At 45.3% G+C, this 25,749-nt stretch overlaps 5 annotated features.

Annotated features, from left to right (window-relative positions):
• Positions 3,582-4,082: an enhancer, noted in NCBI's record as "H3K4me1 hESC enhancer chr20:37898023-37898523 (GRCh37/hg19 assembly coordinates)". NCBI's record gives its function as "activates a minimal SCP1, AML or CMV promoter by ChIP-STARR-seq in naive H9 embryonic stem cells {active_cell/tissue: H9 hESC(naive)}" and the evidence as "EXISTENCE:reporter gene assay evidence [ECO:0000049][PMID:30033119]".
• Positions 16,389-17,067: an enhancer, noted in NCBI's record as "OCT4-NANOG-H3K4me1 hESC enhancer chr20:37910830-37911508 (GRCh37/hg19 assembly coordinates)". NCBI's record gives its function as "activates a minimal SCP1, AML or CMV promoter by ChIP-STARR-seq in naive and primed H9 embryonic stem cells {active_cell/tissue: H9 hESC(naive and primed)}" and the evidence as "EXISTENCE:reporter gene assay evidence [ECO:0000049][PMID:30033119]".
• Positions 17,068-17,744: an enhancer, noted in NCBI's record as "OCT4-NANOG-H3K4me1 hESC enhancer chr20:37911509-37912185 (GRCh37/hg19 assembly coordinates)". NCBI's record gives its function as "activates a minimal SCP1, AML or CMV promoter by ChIP-STARR-seq in naive and primed H9 embryonic stem cells {active_cell/tissue: H9 hESC(naive and primed)}" and the evidence as "EXISTENCE:reporter gene assay evidence [ECO:0000049][PMID:30033119]".
• Positions 23,962-24,540: an enhancer, noted in NCBI's record as "OCT4-NANOG hESC enhancer chr20:37918403-37918981 (GRCh37/hg19 assembly coordinates)". NCBI's record gives its function as "activates a minimal SCP1, AML or CMV promoter by ChIP-STARR-seq in primed H9 embryonic stem cells {active_cell/tissue: H9 hESC(primed)}" and the evidence as "EXISTENCE:reporter gene assay evidence [ECO:0000049][PMID:30033119]".
• Positions 24,697-25,236: an enhancer, noted in NCBI's record as "OCT4-NANOG hESC enhancer chr20:37919138-37919677 (GRCh37/hg19 assembly coordinates)". NCBI's record gives its function as "activates a minimal SCP1, AML or CMV promoter by ChIP-STARR-seq in naive H9 embryonic stem cells {active_cell/tissue: H9 hESC(naive)}" and the evidence as "EXISTENCE:reporter gene assay evidence [ECO:0000049][PMID:30033119]".

Raw genomic sequence — 25,749 nt, forward strand, 5'->3', positions numbered from 1 at the left:
AAGTGTGTAGAGTAACCAGAACTGAACTAATAAAGTGCAGCAGTTCTGCTTTAATGAGCAGAAAAGAGTAATTTGTAATTAGCATATACATTATTTGTACATAATGAGTGCTTCCAAAGTCCTTATGGGGTTGTTTGTCTTCCTAAGTATTTAAAACCCCACCTCCTCCCAACCATCTTGTTTATGCTGTTTATTTGTACTATCTGTTCTTAAAAATGCACCCACGTGCATATGTACACACTGACACATTCATTCGCCTGCAGCCATCTGTACATTGTCTGCAGCCAGAGAGGCACACATAGGAACACGCAGCTACCATTTCACTCATTTGTAAATGTAACCCCACACTTGCATGCACCAGCACAGATACACAAACACTCAGGTCTACACATAAAAATGCACATGCATGTGTACACACATGTACATGTACCTGTTCCCTTGTATATACACATGCCCAGGAAGTACACAGAACATGTACTTTCATAAGAAGCCACAGGTGCAAACTTGCATTTATAACTGTGCCCATGCACATACATGTGTATACACACAGGTCACAGGCCTACATGCACACATGTTCAAACAGATACATAAATCTGGGAGGAATTGGGGCTTCAATTGGTCTCTTTCTCCTCAAGTACTGATGATGTAAAGCTTTTTATGATTTTGGTCTTGTCCAAAGATTTGAGGTTTTGGAGTCTTCGTCTTCTTGTTCAAAGCATCTTGTTCTTGTGTGGATCAGCTACTGTTAGCTAATGTTACCTATCTGTTACCCTGCTGGAAAGCTGGATTTATGAATGATCCCTAAAATAAAGGTCCTATGTGTACCACAGCAATAGGCCTAAATGAGTAGCTGAGAGGTGAACTTTTGCCGCCTTGGGACCAGGCCTCTGCTGGGGCAATAAGCAGTAAATAACTGTAGCTAGTACCATTATTTTTGGGCCCTTACACAAAAAACTCTGCATAGTGATAAGGTAGACTGAAAACAAGCAGCTTCTGAGTAGTAATTGTGTACCAGGATTTCTCATCTACATTGCCACATGGACTTACTCTATAGCATTTTGAGGTCAGAATAATTATCCTTATATTACAGATAAGAAAACTGAGGCTCAACGAAATGAAAGCATTTGCTCACGGCTGCACAAACATGGGTTTGAACCCAGGAGAATCTCTTGCATTATTTAATCTCTTCTCCTTAGCTCACCACCCTCTACCCTGCTGGGTCCCCCAAACACAGGGTCTGCTGGAGCAGATATGAGACAAGGACAGAGCTGGTGATAGTCTTTGGTGCCTCTGAACTTGCATGAGGTGTTTCTGCATGGTTGAAGAGCAATGATGAGATGCTCCATTCACCCAAGGGTCAGAGGTGGTCTTTCCTGGGGAAAACATGACTCAGCTTTTCTGACCTTGTGGTTCGCTTTTGACATGACTCCAGAGAAGGTGCTGGTAAAGCCATCGTTTCTCTGAGGATTTGAGTAGATACCACACCTCAGCTCCAAAAATTAGGTTCGCAACAATTTACAATAAGATATATACCCTAGGTGAACAAGCAAAGGACCAGGACTCCTTTATCGTGTTAGAAATGTCATAGTTCCTAAAATGTCTAAGCTGTATGGTTGGTCACCTGCCATTCATTGGCCAAGCATTGTGCTTAGATGAACCTGGGCATAGGAAAAGTTGAAGGAGACATCCAGGCCACTTTTGGTTTACATTACTGGAAACATTTTAAAGACAAAAAATCATGCAGATGTTTTTATAGCTATTATTTTATTTTAGCCTTAAAACACTCATGAGGAAAGTAATGTTAATAACAATAATGGTGACAACAGCTGACTTTTATCGAATAGTTACTATCAACCAGGTCCCACAATACTCTCAATGTGCTAAGTGCTTCACGTGCAATAGTCTATTCAATTCTCACAACAACCCAATGAAGTTTGAGTCCTACAGTGGGTTATTACTGCTCCATTTTCCTGTTGAAAAATAAAGAATCAGTGAGGTAAAGTGACAGGGGCAGCATCTGCGGTAGAATCCAGGTCTCCTGACTCTTCAGACTGATCTCATGTCCTAGTACCATCCAGGGTCAGAGACTGCAAGGGCAGGTGGAATAAGGTTAGGGTGCTGGGAACAATATGCTGGTGTGTACTCCAGCCTCTGTGGCCCTAAAACTGTCACAAGTGATGGTTTCCAACCAAGTCAATTGGGTGTCTGACTTTCATCCTGGGACCAGGAAAGTGGGGCTTCACGACTGCCTTGATGGTACTGGTTTGTTTTACAGTGTTTGCCAGTTTCTGTGGTGTAAATACTTACACTATGTCTGATTTCAAGCTAGCAACTGTTTAGCAATTGGGAGAGAAGGATAGAGGGAGAAGGGAAGAGAGAGAGGCATTTGCTTACATCATGTCTGATTTCAAGCTAGCAACCGTTTAGTGATTGGGAGAGAAGGATAGAGGGAGAAGGGAAAGGAGAGAGGCATATGTAACAACTGCATATTTAACAGTTGGCTTTCTGGCTCCTCCAGCCGACTGCTTGGGCCCAACACCCTAGCAATTAACCTTTTGCTACTCCTGGGCTCCAAGGAGGCCAGGCCGTGGGAACAGAGCACCAGAAGGATATTTCAAGGCAGTTTCTCCATTGCCTCAGCCTGGATGAGGCTGATAGTGTTTTACTTCTTCCTTTGCCTCCCTCAGGGAGAAAACAAAGAGTGGATCCCAGAAAGGCCAGGGCCTCTAATCTCTCAGTACAAGTCTTTGAAAGGAGAGGAAGGGAGCTGGGTCTACCGCAGAGAGCTGGCAAGGCTGGGTCTCTGGAGGCTGGGGCCAGGGGCTCCGCGTGTGGAGTATGGAGCAGAGCCGGTGGGCTGGGAGGAAACGACTGGCGGAAGGCCTCCTGGACCCTCTATCCTGTCTTCATAACTCCCACACAGATTAATGAGCCTCAGGATGCCCTTGGTTTTGGCCAGCCATGCTTGGGGCCTCCCCAAAATAGACAGGACGCCCAGTGCCTCTTGCTATTGTCCCAGCTATTGTCTTTATGAGCCTCCTGGGTTCAGGGATCACATCCTAACTCTTCCTGTTCGTGCTTAATCACCATCCGGATGGATGGACACTTGCAGACAGACTGGGGGCAATGCAGACTCAGGGAAGCCAGTACTGTGTGCGTGTGGAGAGATCTGGCCCCACCGTGTCCATGGCTGAAAAGGGAGAAATGGGGCCATGGTGGAGCTTTTGCAAAGACTCAGCGCTCCTTTCTTGGCTGAGGCTGGCTGAGGGGGCCACCAGGCTCAGAGCTGGTGCCCTGGGGTAGGGCAGTGTATGGGGCAGAGTCAGCCACTAGGGGGCAGGCCCCGACAGCAGGTGGGCCAGGCAAAACCCTGTCAATGCTCAAAAGGATGGTGGGAGGACTGACAGCCACAAAAACTGACCCGCTTGGGGTCTTGGGGCCCCCTCCAGGGTCTGGTCAGCTCCAGAGAGAACCAACACCCAGGGGAGTCTGGGAAGCAAGGACAGCAGTGATGGGAAGCTATCCGTAGATTCCCTGTATCATCCTAGTCTGGGGTGATGGAACTGTGATGAGCCGCATCTGCGTCTGGATGGGGATGGGCACGTGGCTTCCCCCTGCTGTGGAAGATGCAAGGAGCAGGAAGAACAGTGACAGAGAAGGACAGGCCTGGGGATAGGGTCAGGAGCTGGCAGCTGCAGCCCCAGCACAAAAGCCAGATGCAGGAACCCTGGCTTGGGGTATACAAGCCCCTGAAGGGGCCTTTTTGGTTTGTATCCTCCTGGGCCTGCCTGGCCAGGCCAGCTTCCTGTTAGCCTAGCAAAGCTGAGATTTGTCAGCTACTCCAAAGCAGTCCCTGCCCTTCCTGCTCTTGACTCTGCAGTATTTTGCCTTGGTTGATTCTGGCAGCTTGTGAGCCCTCTGAGCCTGCTGCCTGCCCCGGATGAAGCTGTCTGAGGTTCAGCTGAGCTGTCTGAAAGCCAGAGAAGCTTAGGATTTACCCTGAGGGAAAAAGACTGGGATGCACCCACTACTGGGAGGCCTGATAGACCCAGTGACCTATGGCAAACCATTTATTCTATTCAGCCATTCTCCCATCCATCCATCCCCTCCATCCATCTAGCCCCTCATCCATCCATCCTTCCATCAACTCACCCACCCAGCCACCCACCTACCCAGCTACTCATTTATCTACCCTGCCATGTATCCCTCCATCCTTTTCCATCCATCTGCCCATCCTTCCCCATTCATCCATTTATCAATCCATCTATTTTCCATCCATCCATTAATCTATTCTATCAGTATATGTCATTGAAACTTCCTCTGTGCCAGGCTCTCTTTTGGGTCCTGAGAATGCAGCAGTTCACATGACAGAAAAAGTTTCTGGATCATAAGAGCTAAATTTGAATGGCAATGTCCCAGTGACAAGCCAAATCACTCACTATGACATAAGGATGGAAATTGATGGCTCAGCTCTTAATCCATCGAGGCAGCAAACTCCCTACACCTCTTGCCCTGATACATACAGATATATTTACAATATGTATGAAGGCACCCCAAAATATGCATACCTGTGTATGCTCACATTGCATCCCCTTGGATAGCAACATGTCTTCAGGATAATTTGTGTACACATACCACCATACCCGAATGTATAACTATCTAAATACGTGCATGTGCATGGACATAAATTCACATATGCACACATGTACGTATAGGCACACAAGGCACTTACACATATTTGCACATATACATACATGTGCACATATACATACTTGTATATGTGCACCAGGAACACACAGGTGCACACACACACACACACACCTGTGCACAGCTACTCAGGCACATTGGCATATGCACTTTAACTTCATACAAATATATACACTTGGGTACAGTTTGGATCTGTATGCATATAAGATACATGTGCTCACATATGCACCTATCCATGCACACAGGTTGCATGTACATGAGCCTACACATGTGCATGTAAATACTCCCTCTGACTTTGACCTTTCACCAAAACCCCCGAACCCTACCATTTCCCCATTCTGTCCTGGGGAATTATCCATATCTCTGACAAGAGAATGGGTTACTAATGCAGCCACAGAGCTGTTTTGACACTTTTGATGAATAACATTCAATACTATTAATTGGAACAATTGCTTTTCATTTAACTAAATCATGGGAATTGCTAAACTAAATTGAAACGGAATGTGATTTTGCTTCGCACTGCTTTAATATGGGCCTCTAAATGTCTTCTCTCTGAAGGATTAGTAACTTAATCACCCACCAGTGATAACTGCTTCCCAGGCTCAGCCGGGAGGCTTCCTGCTCAGCAGCAGCCTGGCTGGTGAGGAACTGGGGGCCCAATGGCAACTACTCTGCCCCTTGCTTCCTCTCCCTGCATTATTCATCGTGGGGGAACACGGTTCTCTCCCTTCTCTGAGTCCAGCAGGACCCTCAGAGACAATTTCCATTTTCCCTGGGCTCTGCCTGTCTGCGTCCTGTCGAGGAGCTCTCATTCCAGGATCCTGGATGTGGGCGTGGATTCTGTCTCTGAGCTTCTCTGAGCCTTGCTGGAACACTTCGTCCTGAGAACACTGGCTCTGGAATCCTGGGGCCACGTATACCCTGAGGGCAGCCCAGTGCCTGGCTTAGCTTCCAGGGGCAAGTTGATGTGGGCCAGAAATGTTCCCTGCACTGCCTGGGGGAGCAGGGAAGGCCCCAGCCAGCTGGGCTGTTGCAGGGTGACCAACTGTTCTGGTTTGCCTGGGACTGAGGGGTTTCCAGGACATGGAACTTTTCAGGGCTAAAACTGGAAAGTCCCTGGCAAATCAGAACAGCTGATCATCCTAACTGTGGTGTCATCTGTGCCTCCAGCTAGAAATCATGTTTAACATTTATTGAGTGCTTACTGTGTGCTAGGTGCTTGACATACATTATTTAAATGTTGTGACAATGTTATGGGGATATGTTCTATTAACATATTCATTGTATAAGTGAGAAAACTAAGACTCAGTTATTTTTTAATCTTATCTATGTCCTCACAGGTGTGGACACAACAATAACAACAAGGATAACAAGGATAATAGGAGCTAATTTTATAAGAGCTTGCTCTGTGATAAGCACTTCTGCTAAAGGCTCAATGTGCATCCTACAGCAATCTTGAAGTTAGGTACCATTTTTGCTGTTCCTTCACAGAAGTGAAGGTTATTGCTAGTGAGTGCTAGACTGTGATTCTAGACCTAGCAGCGTCTCCCACCAGCCTCTACTGTGTTGGCTTGCCTGTTAGGCTACATGGGGCCTCCCAAGTCCTTTTCCTCTGGGTGGTCTAAGGAGACCCAGGCTACAGGATTCTGGAGGGTGAGGTCCTTAGCAAATTGAGTTGCTGAGCTTAGTGTGGCCTCTTCTAGGTACAGCTTCTGTCCTTGGGTGTGCAAAGGAGACATGGCCACTCCCTGAATAGGGATTTCAGGGACAGCCACCCCACCCCTTTCCACTGACACGGTTCCTGACACTGGGTCCTCTGAGTGGATTTGGCATGTGATTGTGGGGCCTGTGAGTTCTTATAAAGCCAGGTTCTTGCCTGCTTCTGCTGATCTAGGACTTGTTTGGACTGCAGCAACTTGTTTGCCCTGCAGCATGGTAGGTTGCCGTATCTGCCTCTCCATCCTCTCCTCCTCCCCAGCCCCAAGGTTGTCAGGAAAAATTGCTAAATTTGGCTCTGAGTTGTCACTCCAAAATATTTACAGGAAGAGAAAGGAGCCTGCTTTAAGGGGGTCCTTATTGGACCACTCCTAAGGGTCAGGTACTGTATCAGGCATTTCGGTTTATGTTCTCATTTAATCCAACAACATCCCAACAGTTAGGAATTATTATTCCCATTTCACAGTTCAGAGGGCAAAGGTGCTGAAGGAGGCCCAAGTTCATGCACCTGGTCAGTGCTACACCACAGTTTAGGAATCAGACTGTTTATTCCACTGACTCAATTCTCTTCCTAGGCAGATACTGCCATTCTCTAAAGCGTAGCTACTTCCGACCTCCAAGTTTCTCTGTCTCTCTGGAGAGGGCTCAGTGTGCTCAGTGTGATGATGAAGCTTGCAGGCTCTGAAGACAAATGAATATGGCCTGATGCCTGGTGCTTCATGAGGCATTGGGTTGAGATCTGCTTGTCTGTTGGAGTCTTTATGTGTAAAATAGGGATTCACACAGTCCCGACTTGGTAGCCCTGTTGTGTTGGTTGCACAAAGAAGAGCTCAGCACAGGGCCTGGCACAGGGCAGGGGATTAATAAGTGGTTGCTGCTATTATCATGTTTATGATTTCTGGCAGTTTGAAAGGAGATTCTCTGGAGTTCAGTGCTGTAGATGTCAAGCCTTGCCTCCCCTCCACATCTACGCTGCCTGCGCCCTTGAGTTTCCTATTAACTTAATAGGCCTGGACGTAAAGGAGCCAGTTGTTCATGGGATCCCAGAGTCAATCAACAATCCACCCTTCACTGCTTCCATTTGGTAAAATCGATATGTGTTGATTGAACACTGAGTCTGCGCAGAGCCCTGAGGCTGCGCCTGAGGAGGATTCAACCTCTCGCTGTGCCAGGGAGTGTAACTAAGATAGCGTTCTCTACCTGGGATCCCTGGACCAGCACCATCGGTATCATCTGGGAACATGTTAAAAAAAGCAAATGGGCCTACCCTAAGGCCCATTGAATCAGACATTCTGGGGTTGGGCCCCAGGAATGTGTGTTTTCGCAAGTTCCCCATATCACTCTGAGGCACGCTAAGGTGGGAGAAGCATTGCTCCAAGAGACCAAAACGCAGCTGTCCTCTGACAAGGACCAGCTAAGCCTGTGGGAGCACAGAGGGAAGAGAGGAGGACCCAGCTGGGGAACCTCTGGGGAGTGGGGTGCCCTGACAAATTCTTTCTTCCTGCTCGGGCTTGGGAAGGGGAGGAGCCAGGGCTGCAGTGAGTCCGCCTGGCACCTTCGACCGATTAGACAAAGGTGCCTTTTCTTCTGCGAGGATGCAGCGCTGCCGGTGAGGGGTGCGTAGGCTGGGTTTTCATCTCATTTACCCTTCACCCACATATGCAAGGCCCAGGCAAAGTGTATGATAGGCCTGGGTGCATTTGACAGGGGAAGAGCCGACCATACCTGTCCTCTGACGGTGGGGGGTGGCTCCTGGAATGCTGAGCTAGCAACCATGGTGAGTCCCCCTACTGTGTGGACCCTTGCCAGGCCTCAGGCCTCAGCAGTCACTTACATAAAACAGGTGGTGAAGGCCAAAGCCTGGGGAGAAAGAGGATAATCAGAGTCAAGTCATGAAGACAGCATGCCATGGGCTGGAGGAGATGTCCCACCCTGAGCCACCACAGGAGAAAATAAAGCAAATGATTGACAGCCCCTAAATGTGCGGGTTCCTCTAGAGCACTGTCCTCCTGCCACAGACAAATCAGCTGGATTTTGATGCAAAAGTCAAACCAACCACCGAGTATGGCTGAGGAGGAAGAGAAGGCTGTTGCCCTCAGCCTGCCCCAGTCAGTGCCACACAGTTAGCCTTTTACTTCCTTCTCCTTTCCTCCCTCTCTCCCTGGGGACCCTCTCAGACCACTCTCCCAAGGCCAGCTGGCCTCATTCCCATCCTCCCAACATAGGCTACCTTGGACTTCACCACCTCTAGATTTTGGCCTGCAGGAGCACCGCTCTCCACTGAGAGCACTTGCTGTCTCCCTTACACACCTGTTCTTGGTGGCCAGTGGCTCCTCCCTTCTCCTTGGCAGGTGTCCTAGGTTTTGTCTTCTGTTGGTTTCATGGAACACTGCCTTAATTGTTCCTGGGGCTTTAATGGGACCCTGTCCTCTTCTACATTCTTCTCTCTCCCAGAAGGTGACTTCTTGTAGGTAGGGGGTACTTGAGTCTCCTCCTCTGTTCCCCTTTTGTCCCCCAGACTGGGAACTTTTTATAGCAAAGTTAAGTCTCTCCCTGTCTCTGAACCAGTTCTCCACTCCAACATTTGCTACCACAAGTTTTGGACAAAGTAGAGGGAGAGGGAGCCCACCCAAGTCCAGCTCCAGGGGCCCCTAGACCTGCTTTGTTGGCCCTGTCTATGTCCCAGGTACCACAATTGTGGCAGGTCACTCTGGAGGGACTAGCTATCCTACAGCCCCAGACAATGGTCTGGGTTCTCGTTCCCTATCTCCTACCCCTCACCCCATATACACCCCGTATACCCACACAGCATGGGAGGTCACTAAAACTCATCACTCTCCCTGGAGGAAGCCTGAAGGGCAGCTGGACTAAGTGCCTCCATCCAACACCCTTGGAGGTTCACACTTATTTCTGTTGTCTCCATACCAACAGTGCATCAACTCTCATCTTTTCTGGCCCAAAGTTGGATAAAGCCCCAGCTCAAGTTCTCTTTTGTAGACTGGCAATAGAGTTGAGAAATGTAAAGAAGACGGATACTAAAAGATGAAGAAGTAGAACTTCCAGGAGAAGGAAGTTCTTAGGCAGTTCGTGGATGGGGCTCTAGCTAGGTGTAGTGAAGTTAGAAATGTGTACTTTCTAAGTCAGACAATTCTGAGTGTCTTGTATTTACTTTCATGTTTCTCAGTGATCTCTAACATTTGGTCCATATCTCACATCCTTGCCCTTCTCCAGAAATTTTCTTCTTTGATGTCGTAACTATTTTCTGGCTCCCAAAATCAGGTGAACCTGGGTACCATCTTCCCTGGGTCCTATGACCTCTCTTGCTGTGAGATGCCACTCTTCTGCCTCTTCCCCACTCTCTGTCTCCATCTTCTCTTCTCTTTTATTGACATGTCCCAAGGGTGCTCTTCTATGTTCTTTGATCTCTCCCATCTGTCTTGTTCACCTAAGCTGTCCCTTTCGTCTCTGCACATAGCTCCCAAATTCCAATTCTTGCTTCTAAGAAGGACCCTTTGGAACTGAGAGCTCTATGGAGCTACCCTCCAGCATAATCAGTTGCCTAGAGACATTTTCAAATGTAGTCCCGGCGAGTATCTAAAATCTGACCTGCCTCCAACTAAACCCAATATCTTCCTTCTCACTAGCAGTAGCTTCCTGCCTCACTCTTTCTGCTAAAAAGTTTCACCCAGACTCGAAAATTAATGTGTTTCTTTCTTGTCCCTATTTTCTTCTAAAAATCTGATCGGTAAGTTCCAGAATTTCCCCACCGTGTCCTTTCCTCTCCTGTGGACTGAACCCCTCCCTGGCTCACACACTTGCCCCACTGAGGGCTTCCTCCCATTGGCAGCTTCTATGCCATTCATCCAAAACATGCTGCCTGCCAAACTTATCTTTTTATTGCCCAGCAAGGACCATGTCCCTCTGCTACTTAACAATATTCTAGAGCATTATGCCAACTTCTCCCTGAATCCTTTCATTTGGGAGGTTCCTATGAGTATAGAGCTTAGACTATAAGGCCAGTCAGACCTGGGTAAAATTCTGACTCTGCCATTAAGTGAGCCCATAGGAGAGTAAACACACAGCCCTTAATAAATATGATTTCCCTGATTTATTCAAGTACAAGTAAGTTTACTTTTACTTTTCATAATTTTATGTCTCATTCGTACTTCTCTTTTGGTATCCACTACTTTTTTGTATCTAGCTATTTTAGTATGTATTTTCTTTTTAAAATTAATTTCTTAAGCAGAACCTACTTAGATATTTTAAAATGCAATAAATATTATGTAGAAAATTAGAACATATTAACACATACGGCCTCAGTGGCCAAAGCTGTAATCAGATGTCAATTCATAGCTATTCATTCCTTTGCTCTTACCTGGACAGGAGACAGCTACTGACCATTAAAATCTATTGTCTCTTTCCTTCATTTTAATAGATGTGCTGGGTACATGGTTACTCAGCTACACTTTATTTTTTATTTTCCCTTGAAGTTAGATGTGATTGTGTGACTTATTTATTTACCATAGAATATGAGCAGAAATGCTTTGTGCCATCTCCCATATACCCCCTCTCATATATTCCCCTCTGTGTTTTTTCCCTTTTTGGCTGATTGAGATGGCAAAAAGTAGGCTTGGAGGCCATTCGTTGAAGATGACATTGTCACTATCAGCCTGGGGTCCTGAAGGACCTCGTAGGACAGAATCTCAGCCACTTGGAACCTCTGCCCTGGACAGTTATGTGATAATTATAAAATCAGTCTTGCTTTTAGGCTACTGAAATGTGGGGGGTCTGTTTGTTACATCTGTTAATAGTTAGCCTACCTACTACTTACTCCCCATGGTAGGCAGAACTTTGGAAAGGTCCCATTCTAATATCCAGAACCTGTGATAAATACAAGGAAATATCATTCTCATGATTATGTTATGTTTTATGGCAAGTTGACCTTAAAATAGGGAGATTATCCTGGGATATCCAGGTGGAGTCAATGAAATCGCATGCGCCCTTAAAGGTAGAGAAACTTCTCCAGCAGTTGGCATAAGGGGAAGCCAGAAAGACTCAAAGTAGGAGAAGGAGTCAATGTGCCATTGTCGGTTTTAAGCTGGAGGGGCCTGTGAGCAGGAATGTGGAGTCCCCTATGGGCAGAGTGGCCCCTGACTGGCAGTCAGCAAGAAACCCTGGAATCCAGATCCAGAACTGCAAGGAGCTGGATTTTTCCAACAACGAAGCTGAAGCTGGAATCAAATTCTTCCCCTGAGCTTGCGCGTCAGAGTTTACCCTGGCCGGCACTGTAATTTCTGTCTGTGAGACACTGAGCAGAGATCCCAGCTGAGCCCACCTGGATTTTGACCTATACAACTGTGAAATAATCAATGGCATTGTTTTAACCCACTAAGCTTGTGGTAATTTGCTATGCAAAAATAGAAAACCAACACAGTCCTTTAGAAGGCAAGGACTCAAATCTTATTCTTCTCTGCTCTCTCTGATGTCTCAGGGTAGCACCTGGCATGTAAGAATTTAGGAAGCTTTTGTTAAATGGACAAATGAGTTAGTGTGGTGGGTGAGTGAGAATCCTCAAGGTATAGATCCAAGGTCTGTAAACCTTTTTCATGAAGGGCAAGATAGATAGTAAATATTTAGGCTTTGCAGGGCTCTGTCACAACTAATCAACTCTGTCACTGTAGCACAAAAGCAGTCATGATGATATGTAAATAAATATGCATGACTGTGTGCCATCGAAGGTTTATTTAAAAACAGGTGGTAGGTCAGATATGGCCTGCATGCAGGAGTGTGCTGACCCCTTTTATACATCATTGGAAGACTTTGGGTACTTTCATCCAAAGATGGGGAAGCTTTTGCCTAGAACCACAAGACTTAAATAAATGGCTTGAGGGCAGAAATAGTTTCTACTGTAAGAAATACATCATCAGGCCTGAGAGGTGGTTTAGATTGTTCCAGAGCACATGGAACTTTTTGGTTTCTAGGGAGATAAATCCCATTAAAAAGTCTCTTTTCTTTCTTTGGCTTTCAAGAATTCTTCTATTAACATACCCTTACCTGGTTTTCCCTTCTTACAATGAGATGGGACTGGCTCTCTGGCCTGGCAGAAGGACCCTAGCCTGCAGCAGTTTGCAGAGTAAGGGATTTACTCAGCTGGTTTTCAGCTGAGCCCCCGCCCCATGCCTGAAGCCTGAGTGAATGTCTCCAGCCAGCCCCTGGGCAGAGATGGTACATTGCTTATGGGCCTGCCTGCCCATCCTTCATGAATTTTTATTAAACAAAACTGTAAGCAGATTGATTTTGTCCTCTTTTATTGCATTTTTATTTAATTCCGTTCCATGGTGGAGGCTCCATCATGTTACCGCAGAGTAAATCACTCCAGGGCATCAGGCCAAAACCGTGGAGAAGGGCAGGATCTGGCTTCCCAAGAGCACATTTACCGCATAAGAACCTTTATTAGCAGAGAGCCATTGATTTCTTTTTTTTTTTTTTCAGGTCATAGCCCCTTCACATCCTTTAAATAAGAAAGAATCACAAAGTTATAGTGGAAGAGAGACTCTGTGTGGCCAGGGTCATGGGGTGCTAGCTTGTGTCCAGGTCTGACAACATCTGTACTACCCGTACCCTCAACTCAGCTCCTACTATGTGCTGGGTGGGGTCATATGAAAAGCTTGGAGAAAAGTAGTTTGGGTGGAGCATTGGTGGCTGATACAGATGGAAGGGAACATTAGGTCCAGGAACAAAGTACTTTAATATACTTTTTAAAAAAAATTACGGGTGGTTATAGTTTAGCCTCAGACCTTTATGTAAAAAGTCAAGACTGTGACAGCTGTAATCTAAATCTCCCCCTCCTTCCATAGCTCCTACTTTCACACTCCAGGTAAAGGACTTTGGGATTTTATCCTTAGGAACTAGAGAGCTACTGCCTGTTTTAGAGCAGGGCAGTAACAGGATACTATTACTATCTTTGTTAGAGGGGATCAATCTGGCAGCAGAATGTAAACTGAATTTGAGGAGAGTTCAGGAGTAGGGCAGGGTTGGAAGCTAGAAATGGGGGCATCAGTTAATAGGATATTGCCATGGTCTAGCCACAAGGCAACAAGAACCCAAAGTTGAAGTAATGAAGTTGTAGAAATAGTAGGGGAGAGAGATTAAACAACAAACAGTTGGAGGCGACTCTGAGGTTTTGTCAACTGCAAAAGGGAGTGAAAGGGGTGAAGTGGTTTGAGCAAAGAAAAAGCAGAGCTGAGTTTGGTACATGCTTATTTACAAAGTAAAAGAAATACTTATATATGTATATACGTTATTGCAAATGTGATGCAGATAAATTGCAGAAAATTAAAAAATGGAGAAAAGCATTATAAAGAAAATAAAAATCATATTTAATCCCACAACCACAGTTTGCCATTGCAATAGTACGTTTGGTATATTTCTTTCTAGATAGATAAATAAACAGATGGAGCATGGTACTAAGTAGTCTTCAAAAATATGATTCTCACTCGCTGCGTATTACCATCTGGATACACCAAAATTGATTTCACTGTGCATCAATTGTTGGACTTTAACTTGATTTATAGTTTCTCCACACTATAAATAATGCCATGGTGAACATCTTGCTGTATGCTTCTTTGTCTGCCTCTCTGATAAATTTCTAAAGTAAAATGATTGAGTTAAAGGTTATAATCTTTTTTAAAGTTCTTAACTCATGTTGTCAAATGCTCACTCGATACTTACTGATACAGTGTATGTTCAGGTTGATTTCACAGCACATTCATCAATCAACACTAGAATTATTTTGATTTTTTTAAACCCTTGGCAATTTCACAGTATAAAAGGGATAATCACTATTTCTTAAATTATTTGTTTTTTATTATTACTAATACTTTAATAATAATTTTGGGTGTGCCTATTGGCCATTTTCAATTTCTCCTCTTTTGAAAATTGTATCATTTTTTCATATTTCTGTTGGACAAAATCTGTTTTTTATGTACCAGTTTATGACAACTTTTAATAGTGGGGCTATTACAGTTTTGTGTATTAGACATGTTGCAGTTTTTTGTTTTTTTTTTTTTTTTGCCACATTCTCATTACCTTTCAAAGTTTTATATGGTATTTTTGATAAGTAGAAGTTTTGAAATTTTATGTAGTCATTGCTATCCCCTTTTGGATTTTTTTTCCTTTTCTGTTATACTTTGACAGTCCCTCTCAAAACAAGATTCAGTAAACATTTACCTATGATTTCTTTTAATTCTTTGTGATTTCTTCATTTGTCTCCTTATTTGAAGCATCAGCCTGTGGTGATCATGAACACAGGCTCTGGAGTTACATGGACTTGGATTTGGATGCTGGTTCTCCCAATTACTTGCTGTGTGACCTTGGATAATGCTTAACCTCTCTGAAACTCAATTTTCAAATCTGAAACAGGGTTGGAAGTTGCAGGAGATAATGTATGTCGAAGTGTCCAGCACATTACTTGGTCAGTAGCAGACATGTAATCTTAAATATTGCCACGTTAGGTCTCTGTTAAGTATGTACAATTTTGATCTTCATGAAGGCAGAGACACTGTCTTATTTACCTCCATATCGCATGTCTAACTGAGGACATGTCTTAAAATATATTTTCAGTGACTATTTGATGAATGAATGTATGAAATGAGCTTAACAGATTGCATTTTGTAAGTTGTAAAGGCAAAAGGAATTCACTTTAAGACGTCGAACTCATTTAGAAAGAACCAGAATAGTTACTGTGCATCTAGAATGTAAGGAAAAAAAGCAAACAAGAAACAAATTAACACTGTTCTTTCATTAGCTACAGCTCGCCATTCAGTCTTGTGGGTCTGGTCAGTCACCTTTGACCCCTGACCTCTTGCCTTGACCTAGGCATACAGGCCATTGCCAAGCTCTCTTGAGTCTGTATGTAGAGAGATTTTAAGAGCTCATAGGGCCCTCTGAGGTCATTTGGTCAGCTCAACTTCCAGTATTTGTATTTTAGTTGTCAAGCACTTCTTTTCTAAAGGAATGTGACCCTGAAAGTCCAATATGTAAAAACAGACTGAGGTAGAGATGCCATGATTGAAACACAGGATCAGGAGGTCATATTCCTTCTACTGAGGGCTTTGCAGATGCCGTTCTCTTGGACAGAAATGCAATTCCATCCTCCCTGTCCCAATTATCCGGCTAAGTATTACTTGTGCTTTAGGTCCTAGCTTAAATAACACTTTCTTCAGGAAGCCTTCCCTGACCTTCTTTTGACCAGGTCAGTTTTCCCTTCTGTATATTCATAGTCCTGTTACCTCTATTTGCTAGCACACGCCTCAGTTGCAAATTTGCATCTATTAATATTAATTTCCTCTTACACTAGGAGCAAAATAGAGGAAAGCCTGTGATGAGTTTGTTTACTATTATACTCCGGGCACTCATTGCAAGGCCTGGCTTGCACACAATTGGTGTCACTTAATATTAATACCTTAATAGAAGTGTATCTGATTTAATCCCATTCTTTTCCAGATTGCACAAATGCTACTGTGTCCACTGCATGCCAGATACTCTTTGAGTACTGGAAATACGCTAGTGAAGGAGGCGGACAGGAGTATGCGTCTAGTCAGGATGACAGACAACAGAGGAATCATTAATTTCAATGGTGATAAATGCATTTCATACATTGGACCTCTATGTAATATTTAATCAGAAGATAAAGTTCTTTTACTGAAAAATAATTAGTAGGTTTCTAGGCCAGCACATTTTGTGGGTCATGAAGTCAGCAGCTAAGAGTGGTACTTGGAATCTTGTCTTTGTGGTTCATTTAGGGTGGGAGAGTGTCTGTGAGGCCCAGCCACCTTGTCAGAATGGAAGTTTCATCACCCGCTGATGAGTGTTAGACAGTGCGTCAGTTCATCTCAAAGTTGCCAAAATATGCACCTACCTGGGTCTGCTTTGATAAATAGATAAGAACTTGTGTTCCTTGCGAGTCCATCAGAACTCAGTTATCATAATCATCTGTCACATGTTCCTTAACCCTATGGGCAATTCTAGGGAGGTGGCTGATCTAGATGAAAGAAGGTCCTTCAGCAACTGTCCAGGGCACTTGGAAGAATATCCAAGCTCCCCACCATGACCTATGGGCCTGTGCTGATCTCGGTCTCTTCTCCCTGCCCATCTTCATTTTGTTCCATGGCCTCTCATGTTGCAGATGTCAATCTCAGGTCCTATTTGAATTATTCCCAGTTGCAAATCAGGAAGGTATTAATTGGTGCATGTTCTGTAAGTGCTGTTAGAATTAGAGCTACTGGGCTGGCTGACAGGAGTTTAGAGGGCAGCCCTTTTCCTCCTCTGAGCCTGTCTCCCCAGCCATCCCTTCTAAAAGTTGCTGGGCTGATGCTTGTATCTTGGCTGGCTCTGATGCCAGCTCTGACGGGGCCACCCTGGAACCTGCTTGCACAGGCTGTCGAGGGCGTGAGAACCCAAGCAGACAACTCCCAGTCCTACCTCCTTTGCTGTGCCAGGCTGCCAGTGCCAGCTGAGGAGGCCCCCTCCTGCCTCTGCTTGTTTCCCTTGATTGTTATGTAATGTTCGGCAGCAGGAGGTAAATTCCTCTCCAATTTCCAGGCCCGTTACAGCGCATGAACCCCACCGTGGGGAGCCACAGTGATTGAGCTCAGCAGCCAGGTCCCATGCTGAGTGTCATAAATCAGGCCTATTACCAGCTTCTCCTGGCAGATGCCATAGCCAAGAACCTGCCCACTGCTTGCGAGACCCAGCCGCCTCTGCATACTGTTAAACCAGGGCTGACAGATCCACCGGGGATTTAGGGGATCTTCATGACACTCTGGCTGGGTGTTGCCAGGAATCTTATTCTGAGAGAGCAGGAGGTGACACAGCCCTTGGCAAGGCATCTCAGACCTGAGATCTCACAGCCTGATGTACGGGGAGCAGAATCAGGGCATGATCACCTGCAGGCTACCTGGATTTCCTGGTATGGTGGCCTCTTGTGTGCCTGGCTGTACACGTAAGAACCTCTAGGGGACTTGTTAAAAAATATACATCTCCCAGGTCCATCCCCAGAGATTCTGATTTGGTAAGTGTTCCTTGGGACATGGAAATTAGCATTTTTTACTAGATCCCAGGTGATTCTGATGCAGGTGGTTCCTGGACCACCCTTTGAGAAATGCTGCTTTGGGACCAGCTGTATCCCTGAAGTGATGCCTGTAAAATGAATGCCTATAAATTGTGGGTCTTTTTTTTCCATTTCCTTCTATCATTTGGCTGAAGATGTGTTTGCCTGGGGAAGAAGATGTGGGCTTCAAGAATCAATGGCAATCAAACTGAAGAATAAGACAAATCTTTGACTATGACATATTTAAAGGGCAATAATAATGCTAATAGCAAGGGGAAAAGTCCCGTAGTAGGATGTTTTGCTGATACTTAACGTGCTACAGGGGGAGCTCTATCCTTGTTTCTCATTGGCTCTGTCTGTATGACCAAGGTTGTCATATGTCCTGGTTATCCTGGGTCAGTCCAAGTTTATGCAGGTTGTCCCAGTGCAACTTCTAATAGTTCCCCCTTCGACTCTCGAAAGTCCCAGTCTGGATGACAGTTGTTACTCTGTCAATAACCCATAGGATTGCTTCCCTTAAGACCTCCACTTTTCTTCCAAAGGGATCTGCCCTATAGTTGTCTCTGAAGGATTTTGTCAGACTGATCCCAGTAGTGGATTTCACACTAAAGTTCACCCTGACTCTGGGCTGGGATGAATGGTAAAAGGAACTCTTTGACCAGGTAATCCCCCTACTCTTTCCAGGAAATCCCGGTGGGGAAAAGGAAGGTCCTATGACCTGAACAGAAGAAACAGAATTTGGTGGCCAGGGAAAGCCTTCCCTGGGGGTCCACCCTTCCTGTGACCTGAACAGAAGAAACAGAATTTGGTGGCCAGGGAAAACCTTCCCTGGGGGTCCACCCTTCCTGTGACCTGAACAGAAGAAACAGAATTTGGTGGTCAGGGAAAACCTTCCCTGGGGGTCCACCCTTCCTGTGACCTGAACAGAAGCAACAGAATTTGGTGGCCAGGGAAAGTGTTCCCTGGGGGTCCACCCTTCACTTTGGGTGCATGAGATAAGACTACATTTTCCTCTCAAATATCATAATAAAAACATTAATAATAAGTCCTAATAATCCATGAGATGTGGAGAAGTAGATAAGGAGTTCTAGAGTTAGACAGGCTAGATTTGATTCCAGCACTGCCCTCACGGACTTGACTTCAAGCAGGTTGACCATGTGGGACCTCATTTTTCTCCTCTGTAAAATGGGGATAAAAATCTTCAACCTGGGAGAGGACTTGAGATATTTGTAAAGAGCAGACACTTAATAGGTAGTCAATAAATGGTGATGGTTAGTATAATCATCATGACAATGACAATTAAAAAGCAAGATTTAATGTTTTAAAAATGTTTCCCAACATATTTCTTCTTTCGAAGGTGGGGGCAGTTAATGGTTTTATTTCTTTATCAATTTCCTCCCCTGGAACTTTCCACCATGAAGGGTAAGCTATGAGGCTTCTCTGAAAAACAAAGAGAAGATTCCATTTAGAACAAAAAAACCCAGCATGAACATAGAAAACCCAGTGTGGGTTAGAAACACCCAAACATTTCTAGGGAAACTCAACAGGAGAATTTATTTCTCAAGGATTTTAGCATTGCATGGGAACTTCCCAGGCCCTTTTGTAAAGTCCTGAATTTAGCAAGATGCTGGAGGCATGTGGCACTGAAAAGAGGTTAAATTAGAATTGGGTAAGGGAAGAGTTCGGGAGACATGCCCAGGACAGCCCCCACACTGCTGTGGCACCTGAGATCCTATATGCCGCAGCGGGGACACACGTGCTGAGAGCTCTTGCAGACATGAGGTGTCTGGGATCACAACAAAGATCCTACCATGTTGGGGACTTTATGACCAGAGGCTGTGGCTGTGCACCTCAGTCACGGGTACCAATGGGACGCCCCCAAAGAACCATGTGAGACCAGTCACACCTTGGCCGATGCTAGCGCAATGCTCAAAACCAGGTCAGAGGCCCAGGCCCCATACAGTGATGTTTGTTTCCATCTCTACTTGGGAAAGAGTTGGGGCATGGAGTGAGGGTGGGGGTTATGGGGAGTCATCCCTTTGAGAGAGCAAAGGGGAGATTTAGATTTTGCCTTGACCAAACATGCTAAATGAGACTATTTACATACATATACATATTTTTTGAACTTTGAAAGTCTTTATCACAGTATTGCATGTGACAGAAAATTGCAGAGCCTATATGTTTAACAAGAGGCAAATAGTTAAATAAATGTTGGTACAACCTTGAAAGAAATTACTAAAAGCCATTCATATTCATATGGTATAGGAGACACCTTCATATAATGACTTGGAAAGAAAGCTTACAGTTCGTTAACTAGTTAAAGAAGTGCCCCAGAGCTCTGATTGGCAGGAGATAGAAATCCAGTCAGAGCAGCTGAAGTGAGAAGATAAATTATAAGGTATCTTAGCTCAGGCTGCCTAGAAGCAGAGCCTGAGGCAGGGTTTCTTGGGCAAATGATGTAATGAGGAAACACTCTTGGGAAAAGGAGCTGAGGGAAGCGGGGCAGGGCAGGGGATGGTGCTAAGAGAGGATGTGGTCTCTAGGTGAAGACGAGCTTCAGCCTGATCCCATAGGGAACTCTGGTGTATAAAGAGCTTTATAGAATTGACACCACCTTAAGGCAAGGAGGCTAGCCCCGCGCACAGAAGCCAGGTGATGGGTGCACCAGCCTGGGCGAGGAGATCAAGGCTTGGTACCAACAGCATCAACTACCTAAAGATAGACTACGTAGAAAACTGAGAAAAGAACTGAAGTGCATTTGGGCTCTGCAGGAGTAGGCCTCCTCTCCTTCTTTCTGTATACCTGCTGTATTCTCCTCTCATAGAATGACTCCACTGGGCCCACACTAGATTCATGAACTAAAAGGCAGTTCATATACAACTTGGTGAGTTATGTGATATGGTTTGGCTGTGTCCCCACTGAAATCTCAATTTGAATTGTATCTCCCAGAATTCCCACATGTTGTGGGAGGGACCCAGGGAGAGGTAATTGAATCATGGGGGCTGGTCTTTCCCATGCCATTCTCATGATAGTGAATAGGTCTCACGAGATCTGATGGGTTATCAGGGGTTTCTGCTTTTGCTTCTTCCTCATTTTATCTCTTGCTGCTACCACGTAAGAAGAGCCTTCTGCCTCCCGCCATGATTCTGAGGACTTCCCAGCCATGTGGAACTGTTAAGTCCAATTAAACCTCTTTTCCTTCCCAGACTCAGGTATGTCTTTATCAGCAGCCTGAAAACAGGCTAATACAGTAAATTGGTACCAGTAGAGTGGGCTGTTGCTGAAAAGATACCCAAAAATGGGGAAGCAACTTTGGAACTGGGTAACAGGCAGAGGTTGGAATAGTTTGGAGGGCTCAGAAGACGACAGGAAAATGTGGGAAAGTTTGGAACCTCCTAGAGACTTGTTGAATGGCTTTGACAAAAATGCTGATAGTGATATGAACATTAAGGTCCAGGCTGAGGGGGTCTCAGATGGAGATGAGGAACTTGTTGGGAACTGGAGCAAAGGTGACTCTTGTTATGTTTTAGCAAAGAGACTGGCAGCATTTTGCCCCTGCCCTAGAGATTTGTGGAACTTCGAACTTGAGAGAGATGATTTAGGGTATCTGGCGGAAGAAATTTCTAAGCAGCAAAGCATTCAAAAGTTGACTTGGGTACTGTTAAAAGCATTCCATTTTAAAATGGAAACAGCATAAAAATTCAGAAAATTTGCAGCCTGACAATGTAGTAGAAAAGAAAAACCCATTTTTTGAGGAGAAATTCAAACCGGCTACAGAAATTTGCATAAGTAGCAAGGAGCCTAATGTTAATCCCCAAGACCATGGGGAAAATGTCTCCAGGCCATGTCAGAGACTTTCACAGCAGCCCCTCCCATCGCAGGCCTGGAGGTCCAGGAAGAAAAAGTGGTTTTGTGGGCTGGGCCCAGGGTCTCCACGCTGTGTGCAGCCTAGGGACTTGGTGTCCTGTGTTCCAGCCACTCCAGCCATGGCTGAAAGGGGCCAAGGTAGAGCTCAGGCTGTGGCTTCAGAGGGTGGAAGCCCCAAGCCTTGACAGCTTCCACATGGTGTTGAGCCTGTGGGTGCAAATAAATCAAGAAATGGGGTTTGGGAACCTCTGCCTAGATTTCAGAAGATGTGTGGAAATGCCTGGATGCCCTGGCAAAAGTTTGCTGCAGTGGTGGGGCCCTCAAGGAGAACCTCTGCTAGGGCAGTGCAGCAGGGAAATGTGGGGTTGGAGCCCCCACACAGAGTCCCTGTTGGGGCACTGCCTAGTGGAGCTGTGAGAAGAGGGCCACTGTGTTCCAGACTCTAGAATGGTAGCTTGCACCGTGCACCTGGAAAAGCTGCAGACACTCAATGCCAGCCTGTGAAAGCACCCAGAAGAGAGGCTGTACCCTGCAAAACCACAGGGGCAGTGCTACCCAAGACCATGGGAACCCTCCTCTTGCATCAGCATGACCTGGATGTGAGACCTTGAGTCAAAGGAGATCATTTTGGAGCTCTGCGATTTGACTGTCCTACTGAATTTCAGACTTGCATGGGCCCTGTAACCCCTTTGTTTTGGCCAATTTCTCCCATTTGGAATGGCTGTATTTACTCAATACCTGTACCTCCCCTTTGTAGCTAGGAAGTAACTAGCTTGCTTTTGATTTTACAGGCTCATAGGTGGAAGGGACTTGTCTCAGATGAGACTTTGGACTGTGGACTTTTGGGTTAATATTGAAATGAATTAAGACTTTGGGGGATTGTTGGGAAGGCATGATTGGTTTTGAAATGTGAGGACATGAGATTTGGAGGGGCCAGGGGCAGAATAACATGGTTTGGCTGCGTCTCTGCCAAAATCTCAACTTCAATTGTATCTCCCAGAATTCCCACGTGTTGTGGGAGGGGCCCGGGGGAGGTAATTGAGTCATGGGGGCCAGTCTTTCCTGTGCTATTCTCATGATAGTGAATAAGTCTCGTGAGACCTGATGGGTTTATCAGGGGTTTCCGCTTTTGCTTCTTCCTCATTTTTTCTCTTGCCGCCACCATGTAAGAAGTGCCTTTCACCTCCCACCATGATTCTGAAGCCTCCTCAGCCATGTGAAATCGTAAGTCCAATTAAGTCTCTTTTTCTTCCCAGACTCTGGTATGTCTGTATCAGCAGTGTGAAAACGAACTAATACATTGACTTGTCCAGCATAGCTGGAAGGGATAAATTGGGTCATCTAGATCTTCTCTTAGCAATTATGAATTGGAGAATAATTATTGAACCAGCTAGCTATAGAAGCTGAACTGAACTAAAGGGACAAGAGGAAGCTTGGACCTGGGGTGGCTACCTTGGTCAATTTATGTAGTGAAGCTCAAGAGAAGTAGAGACAGAACAAGTGAAATAAGTGGGGCTGCACACAGGTGCCTCCCCTACCCAGGGCCTCCTTTGCTTGGGGTTTGGTTTCCACTTGGCCTGGGCTTTGGGGAGTATCAAGGAATGGCTTTACACACTGACTGATGGGTGCTGAGGGACTCCCCAGATTTATCTAGGCTGATATTGTGTAGTAGTACCAAAGATATTGATGGCAATTAAGATAATAATAAAAATGGAGATAGCAATAATGATAACTCGAAGTAAGGACTTGCTGTGTGCCAAGAACATTCTTAAGCACTTTACCTGTATGTTATCATGTCTTCCTTACAACGACTCCATGAGGTAAGAACTATTATTATCTTCCTATTATAGATAAAGAACCTGAGATCCAGGGAGATCAATAGATTCTCCCAAGTTCACTTGGCTAGTTAGTATTGAAGTCTGAATTGAGGTTTAGCCAGCCAGACCCAGGCATGCTATGCTATACTAAAATTATGCACCCTCATACACACACATGCATACGAATGGGCCCTGGATTCACACAACTCTCGAGTCAAGCTCTCCTTATTCTTATTCTACTCCAGCAAGCATCTCAACCTATCTTAAGCTCAATTTTCAGGGGAAGTCCCTAACACAGTGTCTGACACTCAGTAAACGTATAGTAGCCACTCAGTAGATGTGTCTTCCTTCGTTTGATTCTTCTTCTCATGTCTGAGAGAGTGTTTGGGCATCTACATTTACATAGGGGTCAGAGGTGAGCACTGGTGCTTTGTCCCTGGCTTTCTACTCTGGCAGAGAGAGCACATTTTACCTTCAGAGAGGCAATTAGACCCCAGATGGCAGCACTGAGCTTCTGCACAGTATTGGCTCCCCAGTGGACTAGGCAGAAGAACATCACCTCCAGGATCCCCCTCAGGTGTGGGTGTGACCTAGTTACTGGATGGTTGCAGAGAGGACAGACCCCAGTTACTGGATGGATGCAGAGAGGACAGACCCCATGGGGGAGTCAGGGAAATGAGTTGAGTTCCAGGGGGCTGGTAGCTCCCACACTCACAGAGTGGAGTGTTGGGGATGTCAGGAGCCCTCATCTCTGATCTGAGCCTGTCCCTCCCTTCTGCTCTTTCCCTTTTTCCCAGCCCCACCTTCTCACTTTAAGTCTCTCTATGTCTCTCTTTTTCACTCTATTGCTTTTCCTTCCCCCTCCTTTCCCTTTGCTCTTTCTCTCTCCTATCTTCCATCCTTTGCTTTTCTCCTTTGTTCTTCCCCCACATCTTGCCATCTTTGCTCAGCTGCCCTCCCCTCTGACTACTAGCCTTTGTCTTACTAATTGGGATGGGCAGTTCCATCCCAAGCTGCCCTGATTTGACCCCTGACTGTGAGGGCTTTGATAGTCCTTGAGATAACAGCAGCCTCTGCCCAAATGAGGTTTCTGTCTTGAACAATCACATTGCCTGCTTGGTAATGTGGTTTCGGCTTCTGTAAAATGGGGACAGAGCTGGTGCTGGACCAAATCCAATTCCCCAACTTGACTTTATACTTGAAGAGTGTGCGTCTTCCACACAATGTGAAACTATATAGCAATACGAATGAACAAGTTATAACTACACCCACAGAGAGGATGTTGAGTAAAAGATGCCCAGACACAAATTTACTGAATGATTACATTTATAGGGAGTTAGCAAAACTGACAAGAGGCATCTATGGTGTTAGCAGTCAGAATAGTGGTTACCCTTGGGGGAGTAGTGACAGAAGGGATTTTTTTTCTGGGGTGCTAATCACACTCCATTTCTTGACCTGGGTATTGGTTACATGGTGGTGTTCACTTTTGAAGATTCTTCAAACTATTCATTTGTGATTTGTACAGTTTTCTGTATTTATTATAGAGAAAACATTAAATTATTTGAAATGGACCAAAACATAACTGGGCATTTTTAATAGAAATCAAGGTGTCTAAAACACCTGTTGTGTAATAAAGAATTTGGCTGGCCTTTGCTCCTTGTTTTGGAGAGGGAGCCTCTAATCCCTTGGAATTTTTGGACTGTTAAGAATGTGTTTGTTATTCATGGCTTGCATCTCAGACACACCTGGCTTCATGCTAATGAGGTGACTAATGGTGGTCCCTAGATGGTTTCAGGATGGGAGCTGGCCACACCAGAAAGACCAACCATGTGATTAAGAGGTTGGAGCTTTTAGTGAAGTGATGTCAGTTTGACCTCTGGGGAGTGGAGGCAGGTTAGAGATTGAGTTCAGTCACATGGTCAATGATTCATTCAATCCATAGTGAAATCCCAGTAAAAATTCTGGACATTGGCGCTCAGGTGAACTTTCCTGGTTGGGGATGCACATCTATGTGCTAAGAAGGTAGCACATCCTGAGGATGTGGAAACCTTGTGTCTGTAGCCGTCCCATACTTCACACTGTGGGTCTGGTCTCTTCTCTTGGCTGGTCCTGATTTAATCCTATGTAATAAAGCTGTAATCATAAGTATAGCACTTTCCTGAGTTCTGTAGGCTGTTCCAGTGAATTATTGAATCTGAAGGAACCTCTGAGTTTGTAGCTAGTTGGTCAGAAGTGTGGGTAGACTGGGGACTTTCAAGCTTGTGGCTGGTGTCTTAAATGAAGGCAGTCTTGTCGAGGACTGTGTCCTTTACTTGTGGAGTTTGACCTGATTCTAAGTACGGAGAGTCAGAAATGCATTGTGGTACCCTTCTGGGCAATCTGATTTGTTAAAAGAAAACTTCAACCAAGTTAAATAAGAGTTTAATTGAGCAAAGAATGATTCATGAATTGGGCAGCCTCCCAAGCCAGAGTAGGCTCAGAGAGTCCAGCACAGCCACATGGTGGAAGAAGATTTATGGACAGGAAAAGGAA

This window comes from Homo sapiens, chromosome 20 (assembly GCF_000001405.40).
Source record: "Homo sapiens chromosome 20, GRCh38.p14 Primary Assembly".
NCBI lineage: Eukaryota > Metazoa > Chordata > Mammalia > Primates > Hominidae > Homo > Homo sapiens.